The following is a 10,694-nucleotide window of genomic DNA, read 5'->3' as shown; positions in this document are numbered from 1 at the left end:
GACAGACAAGTATTGTAAGCAAATCATGTAGTATGTTGAAAGGTCAAGGCCACAAAAAGTAAGGGGGCAGGTGGCAGTGGGAGGCAGTTTGCAGAATATAAAAGGCTGTCTGGGCAAGCCTCTTGAGGAGGTGAGGTTTGAGTCCAGACTTGGCGGTGAGGAAGGCAGGAGTGTTCTGCGGGGAGGAAACAGCCACAGCGGAAGCCAGAGCAAGGCGGGAATGTGGGACTGTGCCGGGCGTGTTGGGGAGGGAACTGCTAGCAAGGAGGCCACTGTGGCTGGAGCAGAGTGAGTAAGACAGGGGCAGTGAGGAGGTCAGAGAAGAGAGGAGGGGGGCAGAGCTTTGCAGGCTATTGCTATTGTGAAGACTTTGGGTTTTACTTCGAGTCTCAGCAATTACAGATTTGAGCAAAGAATTGCTGTGATGTGAGTAGGGACATACTAGTGATGATGATGGTAAATGTCACATGCAAGGCCCTTCACTGCTCTGAGCTTTGTAGAATGGGGTGAATAATGCCAGCCTGACATGCTTGTTGGAGGGTCAGATGGGATGACGTGAGACACCTATAAGGCAGTCAGCTCCCTGTGCTCCTCTGATCCTTCCCGTCCCAGGTGCTGTAGAAAGTCAGAACCCCAACTTCTACTCCAGGCTGAGCTGCTTACAAGTTGCACACACAGAAGTCAGGGGAATTACGAAGAGCTGTGCATAGGGAAGGATGGCCTTGGGCCTTGGCTCTGCAGTAATCTTGGCTATATCCTGTGGTGAAAGGCTTTGACATCCAGACCTTCTCAGTCAACAGCCTCCTAGGAGGAGGACAGTCAGTGGCTCAGGCCTGTAATCCTAGCACCTTAGGAGGCAGAGGCAGAAGGATTGCTTGAGGCTAGGAGCACAACAGTCAAAGCTCCGGGGAACCTGGAATGAGGAGTTACAGTCCTGACTCTACCCTCATCACCCCTGCAATACCCTCATTCCCACAGCCTCTACCATATGTGCCCAGGGGAAAGAGCGGGTGCCGTTTTCCCTGTAATCCTCTGCCCAGGTGTGGGTATCTATCTCACCTCCCCTGGGGTCCTCTGGCTCAAATAAATCAGCTTGCATTTTAAAGGAAGCTTTACCATGCACTAAGGAATAATAAAATGGATAATACAAGACTCATGACAGCCCCCCGCCTGGCCAGCCGCCCCGTCCGGGAGGGAGGTGGGGGGGTCAGCCCCCAGCCCGGCCAGCCGCCCCGTCCGGGAGGTGAGGGGCGCCTCTGCCCGGCCGCCCCTACTGGGAAGTGAGGAGCCCCTCTGCCCAGCCAGCTGCCCCGTCCGGGAGGGAGGTAGGGGGGTCAGCCCCCCGCCCGGCCAGCCACCCCGTCCGGGAGGTGAGGGGCGCCTCTGCCCGGCCGCCCCTACTGGGAAGTGAGGAGCCCCTCTGCCCGGCCACCACCCCGTCTGGGAGGTGTACCCAACAGCTCATTGAGAACGGGCCATGATGACAATGGCAGTTCTGTGGAATAGAAAGGGGGGAAAGGTGGGGGAAAGATTGAGAAATCGGATGGTTGCCGTGTCTGTGTAGAAAGAGGTAGACATGGGAGACTTTTCATTTTGTTCTGTACTAAGAAAAATTCTTCTGCCTTGGGATCCTGTTGATCGGTGACCTTACCCCCAACCCTGTGCTCTCTGAAACATGTGCTGTGTCCACTCAGGGTTAATGGATTAAGGGCGGTGCAAGATGTGCTTTGTTAAACAGACGCTTGAAGGCAGCATGCTCGTTAAGAGTCATCACCACTCCCTAATCTCAAGTACCCAGGGACACAAACACTGCGGAAGGCCGCAGGGTCCTCTGCCTAGGAAGACCAGAGACCTTTGTTCACTTGTTTATCTGCTGACCTTCCCTCCACTGTTGTCCTGTGACCCTGCCAAATCCCCCTCTGCGAGAAACACCCAAGAATGATCAATAAAAAAATAAAAAATAAATAAAAAAAAAAAAGACTCATGAAACAACGTACTCAATACCTCGTGCTTTGGAATACCACTCCTTTCCCTCATCTCCACTACCCAAGTGATATGATTTGGCTCTGTGTCCCCACCCAAATCTCATCTTGAATTGTAATCCCCACATGTTGAGGGAGGGACCTGGTGGGAGGTGATTGGATCATGGGGGTGGTTTCCCCCATGCTGTTCTCATGATAGTGAGTGAGTTCTCCCAAGAGCTGATGGTTTTAAAGTGTGGCACTTTCTCGCTCTCTCTCCTACTGCCATCTAAGATGTGCCTCGCTTCCCCTTTGCCTTCTGTCATGATTATAAGCTCCTGAGGCCTCCCCAGCCATGTAGAACTGTGAGTCAATTAAACCTCCTTTCTTTTTTTTTATTTTTTCTTTTTGAGTATTGAGTCTTGCTCCGTTGCCCAGGCTGGAGTGCAGTGGCATGATCTCAGCTCACTGCAAGCTCTGTTTCCCAGGTTCAAGTGATTCTCCTGCCTCAGCCACCCAAGTAGCTGGGTGCACACCACCATGCCCGGCTAATTTTTGTATTTTTAGTAGAGGCGAGGTTTCACCATTTTGCCCAGGCTGGTCTCGAACTCCTGACCTCAGGTGATCCACCTGCCTTGACTTCCCAAAGTGCTGAGATTACAGGCATGAGCCACCGCGTCAGGCCAAACCTCCTTTTTTTTTTTTTTTTGAGATGGAGTCTCACTCTGTCACCCAGAGTAGAGTGCAGTGGCACGATCTTGGCTCACTGCAACCTCCGCCTCCCGGGTTCAAGCGATTCTCCTGTCTCAGCCTCCCAAATAGCTGGGACTACAGGCACGTGCCACCATGCCCGGCTAATTTTTGTATTTTTAGTAGAGACGGGGTTTCACCATGTTGGCCAGGCTGGTCTCAAAATCCTGACTGCAGGTGATCCACCCACCTCAGCCTCCCAAAGTGCTGGGTTACAGGCATGAGCCACCATGCCTGGCCCAAACCTCCTTTCTTTATAAATTACCCAATTCAGGTAGTATCTTTATAGCAGCATGAAAACGGACTAATACACCAAGCAATAGGAACCTTCTCAGATAAGAACGAGGGACTAATGAGGCTCAAGGAGTTCTTGGAGCACTCCCCACTACCACTACCACAGAAAACAGAGTCAGGGTTATTTGCTCATAGTATCCCTGCAAAGTGAAGGAAGAACTTAGATTGTTGGGAGATACAGACCACCCCCCAACCCCATGCCACCCTCCCCCAATACAGAAAAACTTATCTGTAAGAGAAACTAGGGTGTTTGGAGAACCTAGAACCTTCTACTTCTTCCCTCTTGCTGGTCTATCTTGAGAAAAGAGATTTTATCTGAGGAATGTGCATCCTTTTATATTATCAGGCCCAGAGAGACATTGATATGGAGGACAGACCCTTCTTAGGTGCCCCTCTGGCCCGCAAGTATGGAGATAAAGGGAAAATTTTGAGTCCCTTCAAGGGAGATTTCAGGAACTAGCTAGCCCTGCACCCAGCAATTAGGGAAGTAAATGAATAACCCACCAAGGAAGAAGGTAATAGTAACTTAAGCAGCCACCCAAGTAAGCCAGAGTCACAAGATGTTTAGTTCTCTATAAAAACTAAAGATAGGGGCTGGGCGTGGTGGCTCATGCCTGTAATCCCAGCACTTTGGGAGGCCAAGGCGGGCAGATCATGAGATAGAGTTCAGGAGATCGAGACCATCCTGGTTAACACGATGAAACCCCGTCTCTACTAAAAATACAAAAAATTAGCCGGGCGTGGTGGCAGGCGCCTGTAGTCCCAGCTACTCGGGAGGCTGAGGCAGGAGAATGGCAGTGAGTGGAGATCGTGCCACTGCACCCCAGCCTGGGCGACAGAGCAAGGCTCCGTCTCAAAATAAAAAAAAAAACAAAAAAACAAACAACAACTAAAGACAGAGTGCAGTGGCTCAGGCCTGTAATCCTAGCAGTTTAGGAGGCAGAGGTAGAAGGATGGCTTGAGGCCAGGAGTTCAAGACCAACCTGGCCAACATAGCAAGATCTCATTACTATTTAAAAAAAAATGAAAATAATATCTTGGCCAGGTGCAGTGGCTCACACGTGTAATTCCAACACGTTGGGAGGCCAAGGCGGAGGATAACTTGTGTCCAGGAATTCAAGACCAGCCTGGGCAACATAGCAAGACCCTGTCTCTAAACATACTTTAAAAATTAGCTGAGGGTGGTAGCACATGCCGGTAGTCCCAGCTACTCTGGAGGCTGAGGTGGGAGGATTGCTTGAGCCTGGAAAGTCGAGGCTGCAGTGAACTGTGATTGTACCACTGCACTCCAGCCTGGGTGACAGAGTGAGACTGCATCTCTAAAAACAAATAACACCTTGACATGTCTTCTGGTTTTGTTTTTTTTTTCAGAGATGGGTTCTCTCTGTGTCATCCAGGCCTACTGCAGCCTCGAACTCCTGGGCTCAAGCTATCCTTTCATCTCAACCTCCTGAGTAGCTAGGACTATAAGCACATGCCACCACACCTGACTAATTTTTAAATTTTTTGTAAAGACGGGAGGTTCTTGCTATGTTGCCTAGGCTGGTCTTGAACTCCTGGGCTCAAGCTGTTCTCCTGCCTCAGTCTCCCAAAGTGCTGGGATTCCAGACTCCTACCAGATGGAAAATGCCCACTGCTGTCACATTGACCTCAGATAAGGGGGAACTGAAGACTGAACTCTGACCACCATCCTTTTTTCCAAATTATTCCTGAGGGATGTGGAGAGAGTCACACCCACGGGCCAAACCTTAGCATTCCTTTCTGCTGACACCAAGTTTTTAGACAAAGCCTTGCTTCCTTAGCCAATTACAAATCAAAGAATCTCTGAATTCACATGAGCCCCTGCTTCAAGATATCCCACTTTTTTGGGGCAAACCAATGTGTAACCTCTATGTATCGATTTACAATTTTGCTTTCCTGAAATGTGCCCCTTCTTTTAAAAACCCTTGCTTGTAAGCCATTGTGGAGTTCAGGTCTTAAGCATTAGCTGCCTGATTCTCCTTGCTTGGCACCTGCAATAAATTATCTCACTTTCTTTTGCTGCAAGTCCTGGTGTCGCTGTTTGGCATTTTTTTTTTGTTTGTTTGTTTGTTTTTACTTTGAGACAGAGTCTTGCTCTGTTGCCCAGGCTGGAGTGCAGTGGCACAGTTACAGCTCACTGCAGCCTCTACTTCCAAGACTCAAGTGATCCTCCCACCTCAGCCTCTTGAGTAGCTGAGATTATAGGCACATGCCATCACGCCTGCTTATTTTTTAAGAGATTGGGTCTCACTATGTGGCCAGGCTGGTCTTGAACTCCTGGCCTCAAGTGATCCTCCTGTCTCAGCCACCCAAAGTGCTGGGAGTATAGGCATGAACCACTGTGCCTGGCCAGTGTTTGGCTTTTTCTGCACACTAGGAAAGCAGATCCAAGGTCAATTCAGTAACAACATTAAAATGAGACAGCAACCACATTCTACTTCCTTCCTTTTGAGCTATTTATTTATCTCTTGAAACTGCTTGCTATTGCCACAACTAGGTATAAATTAACCTAATAATACCACAATGGACACTGTAACCCATACCCTACAGCTTAACAATGTATGGCCAATCACTAATCAGTGCTAATTCAGTAAACCAATGAGAATTCCTGACAAAAGACTGTATCAGCCCACTCCTTGTCCCTGCATTTTACCTTTAAAAACATACTTGTGGCTGGGCACTGTGGCTCATGCCTGTAATCCCAGCACTTTGGGAGGCCAAGGCAGGAGGATTACGAGGTCAGGAGTGTGAGACTAGCCTGGCCAACATGGTGAAACCCTGTCTCTACTAAAAATACAAAAAAATTAGCTGGGCGTGGTGGTGCATGCCTGGAGTCCCAGCTACTCAGGAAGCTGAGGCAGGAGAATCGCTTGAACCCGGGAGGCAGAGGTTTCAGTGAGCTGAGATTGCACCACTGCACTCCAGCCTGGGCGACAGAGCAAGACTCCATCTCGGAAAAACAAACAAACAAACAGAAAAAAAAAACTTGAAACAAAGGCCTAACAGAGCTCATATCCAAGGTTACTTGGGTATGAGTCTTATGGACAGCTGTCTCACTGTGAATCAAGTAACTTTAATTTTGTGACTCAGCCTCTTCTTTTTAGGTTAACAATCTCTAGTAGAACTGATCACACTCTATTATCTAGTGACAATACACTTTCCTCTCTCTCTTCCCTTCTAGACTATATGTCTAATTCAGCTTCACATTTCTGCCAGTGCCCAGCTGAGGGTTCAAGCTATAATAGCAGCATTTTTTTTTGAGACAGTCTCCCAGAATGGAGTGCAGTGGCAAGGTCACATCTCACTGCAACCTCCATCTCCTGAGCTCAAGTGATCTTCCCACCTTAGCCTCCTCAGTAGCTGGCACTGCAGGCACACACCACCACACTTGGCTAATTTTTGTATTTTTTATAGAGACGGGGTTTTGCCATGTAGCCCAGCTGGTCTCAAATTCCTGAGCCCAAGGAGTCCACTGGCCTCAGCCTCCCAAAGTGCTGGGATTACAGGTGTAAGCCACCGCACCTGGCTGCAGCTAACTTTTATTGTTATGAGAGTGGCAGGAGGCAGACAAATCCTAGGCAGACAGGGACAGGTCCCCGGTGAAAACCAACCTTCAAACCAAAGACAGTTTAAAGCCTGAAAGCCAAGCTACAAGTCCTGGGTAAATCCACGGACTGGAGTGAGAACCTCTCTTCCACTTTGGTGCACTTTCCTCTGATTGATCCCCACCCCTCACCTATTTTACATATACCTACCCTTCCCTAATTGGTTTCTTACACTGTTGTGCCCACCTTTGAGTGATGCCTTTGTTTTAGCCTTTTTTGCATACTCACAAACCAATCAGCATGTACTCTGCCATTCTGAGCCTATAAAAGCCGCAGACACAGCCACACCGAGTAAGAGACCACCCAACTTCAGGTGGGGGAAGCCCTCACATCCTCCTCTCCACTGAGATCTCTTTTGTCACTCAGTAAAGCTCTTTGTCCCCCTCACCCTTCAATCGTCAACATAACCTCATTCTTCTTGGACACGGGACAAGAACTTAGGACTACCGAATGTAGGTAAAAAGAGGCTGTAACACTGGTCCTCTGCCTTCCACTGGCTGAGGTCAGGTGCCTCATGTGATGGGAAGGAGTGGCAGGGCCAAGCCAGTACTGGAGCCATAGGCTGGAATGGGGCAATGGGACTGACAGAGCTGTTAACACATCAGCCGCTGTCCATCAGGCTGCAGACAGTGGGACCAAAAGAGCTATTAGCATGCTGTAATACCCACTCTGGGGCTTTGGGGTCATAGGCATCCCTGTTCATATACCACCACTTTCCCCTCAGTGCAACATGCCTGGTCCAGCCTCAAGCCCTGCATGGAACCCACTCCTGTGTCTGTGCTTGGTGTGGTGGTCAGACTCCACACTTGCTCACACCTCCTCCCTCCAGGGGCTGAGTGCAGGGATCTGCATTGGAGTGGAAGCCAGGCGTGGCCCAGTGACCTGAGTAGACGGGGCATCTCCTGCAGCAAGCCCAGGCCTGAGCAAGGCCCGGGCAGGGGTGTCGCCAGCTGAAGACCTCCGGCTGACAAAGGGGCTGAGAAAAATCCCGCCTCAGTTATACACTGGGTAAGGCCAGAGTTCAGTCCTCAGTTCCCCCTTATCTGGGGTCTATGTGACAGCAGTGGGTGTTTTCCATCTGCTAGGGGTCTGGGTTTCTGGAAGACAACTCAAGGGCATATGTCAGCCAGGTGCGGTAACTCACGCCTGTAATCTCAGCACTTTGGGAGGCTGAGGTGGGCAGATCACTAGAGCTCAGGAGTTCAAGACCAGCCTGGGCTACATGGCGAAACCCCAGCTCTACAAAAAAATACAACAATTAACTGGACATGGTGGCACATGCCTGTAGTCCTAGCTACTCAGGAAGCTGAGGTGGGAGTTTAGTCTGAGCCCAGGAAGGTCGAGGCTGCAGTGAGCCATGTCCCTGCCACTGCACTCCAGCCTGGACGACAAAGCAGACCCTGTCTCAAAAAAAAAAAAAAAAAAAAAACCACCAAGGCTGGACGTGGTAGCTCACGCCTGTAATCCCTGTAATCCCAGCACTTTGGGAGGCCGAGGCGGATGGATCGCTTGAGGTCAGGAGTTCGAGAGCAGCCTGGCCAACATGGTGAAACCCCATCTCTACTAAAATATAAAAAAAAGTAGCTGTGTGTGGTGGTGCGTGCCTGCAATTCCAGCTACTCGGGAAGCTGAGGCAGGAGAATCGCTTGAACCTAGAATGAGACTCCGTCTCAAAAAAAAAAAAAAGCTTCCAGATAGCTGAACACATGGTCCCTGGAGGTCACTGGAGGGTGGTCCTCCAGAAAGGGCATGGAAACACCACACCCCTTCCCACGGGTCTTGCTCCATGCATCTCTTCCATCTGGCTATCTGTATCATTTGTAATATCTTTTGTTGACCTAAAGAGAAAAGAAACTTAGACAAATTTAATATAAGTAGTGTTTATTTGGGCCAAATTTGAGGCCTGTGATCAGGAGCATGGATTCAAGTTGCCCTTAATATATGCTCCAATTAGCAACAGTTACTAATGGTTTTTTTTTTTTTTTTTTTGAGACAGAGTCTTACTCTGTTGCCCAGGCTGGAGTGCAGTGGTGCCATCTCGGCTCACTGCAACCTCCGCCTTCCAGGTTCAAGTGATCCTCCTGCCTCAGCCGCCCTAGTAGCTAGGATTACGGGCACACACCACCATGCCCAGCTAATTTTTGTATTTTTAGTAGAGACAGGGTTTTGCCATGTTGGCCAGGCTGGTCTCGAACTCCTGACCTCAGGTGATCTACCTACCTCAGCCTCCCAAAGTGCAGGGATTACAGGCGTGAGCCACCGCACCCAGCCACTAATGGGTTTTTAAAGGAAAAGAAGAGGCAGTTCCTATGTTGTTTACCAAGAATTTGCATTAGGCGGGGCATGGTGGCTCACGCCTGTAATCCCAGCACTTTGGTAGGCCAAGGTGGGTGGATCACCTGAGGTCAGGAGTTTGAGACCAGCCTGGCCAACCTGGTGAAACCCCATCTCTACTAAAAATACAAAAATTAGCTGGGTGTGGTGGCGTGTGCCTGTAATCCCAGCTACTCGGGAGGCTGAGGCAGGTGAATTGCTTGAACCCGGGAAGTGGAGGTTGCAGTGAGCCACGATTGCACCATTGCACTCCAGCTGGGGCGATAGAGTGAGACTCCGTCTCAAAAAAAAAAAAAAAAAAGAAGACAAATATATTTAAAATTAAGCATTAATCAGGCTGGGCCGGGTGCGGTGGCTCATGCCTGTAATCCCAGCACTTTGGGAAACCAAGGTGGGTAGATCACGAGGTCAAGAGATTGAGACCATCCTGGCCAACATGGTGAAACCCTGTCTCTAATAAAAATATAAAAATTAGCTGGGCGTGGTGTTGCACGCCTGTAGTCCCAGCTACTTGGGAGGCTGTGGCAGGAGAATCACTTGAACCCGGGAGGCGGAGGTTGCAGTGAGCTGAGATCACGCCACTGCACTCCAGCCTGGTGACAGAGCGAGACTCCGTTTCAAAATAAATAAATAAATAAAGTAAAATAAAATTAAGCATTACTCAGTCTGCACTTAGGGCCACCTCCCTGTAACCAAAAGTCACCGTAGCCCTAGATACTGACCATCTGCATCCACACTGTTCCTATAAATAGGATGTCTGACATTAGAATCATAAAGCTTTTGTTTAAGAATTGCTTAAGATGGGCCAGGCGCGGTGGCTCACGCCTGTAATCCCAGCACTTTGGGAGGCCGAGGTGGGTGGATCACGAGGTCAGGAGATGGAGACCATCCTGGCTAATACGGTGAAACCCCATCTCTACTAAAAAATACAAAAAAATTATCTGGGTGTGGTGGTGGGCACCTGTAGTCCCAGCTACTTGGGAGGCTGAGGCAGGACAATGGCGTGAACCTGGGAGGTGGAGCTTGCAGTGAGCCGAGATCGTGCCACTGCACTCCAGCCTGGGCGTCTCAAAAAAAAAAAAAAAAAAAAAAGAATTGCTTAAGATGTTTTTCAGATCCTTAATTCTGGGGGAACAAGTGATGCCAAACAGTTTAAAGACTCCTGACCATGTACAGTGGCTCACGCACCTTGGGAAGGTGGAACGCTTGAGCCCAGGAGCTTGAGACCAGCCTGGGCAACATGGCAGAACCCCATCTCTACAAAAAATACAAAAATTAGCCATGCATGGTGGGCGTTCTCTTGTGGTTCCAGCTACTCGGGAGTCTGAGGTGGGAGGATCTCTTGAGCCTGTGAGGTTGAAGCTGCAGATTGCTTCACTACACTTCAGCCTAGGCCAGAAAGCAAGAAAGACCCTGTCTCAAAAAAAACAGAAAACAAACCAAGCCAGGCACAGTGGCTCACACCTATAATCCCAGCACTTTGGGAGGCCGAGGCGGGCGGATCACGAGGTCAGGAGTTTGAGACCAGCCTCCTGGCCAACATAGTGAAACCCCGTCTCTACTAAAAATACAAAAAATTAGCTGGGCCTGGTGGCGGGCGCCTATAATCCCAGCTACTTGGGAGGCTGAGGCAGGAGAATCGCTCGAAGCCAGGAGGCAGAGGTTGCAGTGAGCTGAGATCGCGACACTGCACTCCAGCCCAGGCGACAATGTGAGACTCTGTCTCAAA

The 10,694-nt window shown here is 49.6% G+C and overlaps 1 annotated feature.

Annotated features, from left to right (window-relative positions):
- Nucleotides 60-109: an enhancer, noted in NCBI's record as "active region_9815". NCBI's record gives its function as "activates an Ori minimal core promoter by ATAC-STARR-seq in GM12878 lymphoblastoid cells {active_cell/tissue: GM12878}" and the evidence as "EXISTENCE:reporter gene assay evidence [ECO:0000049][PMID:35858748]".

The sequence above is a fragment of the Homo sapiens genome, chromosome 15, assembly GCF_000001405.40.
Source record: "Homo sapiens chromosome 15, GRCh38.p14 Primary Assembly".
Lineage (NCBI taxonomy): Eukaryota > Metazoa > Chordata > Mammalia > Primates > Hominidae > Homo > Homo sapiens.
This window is presented reverse-complemented; position numbering and strand designations above follow the sequence as displayed.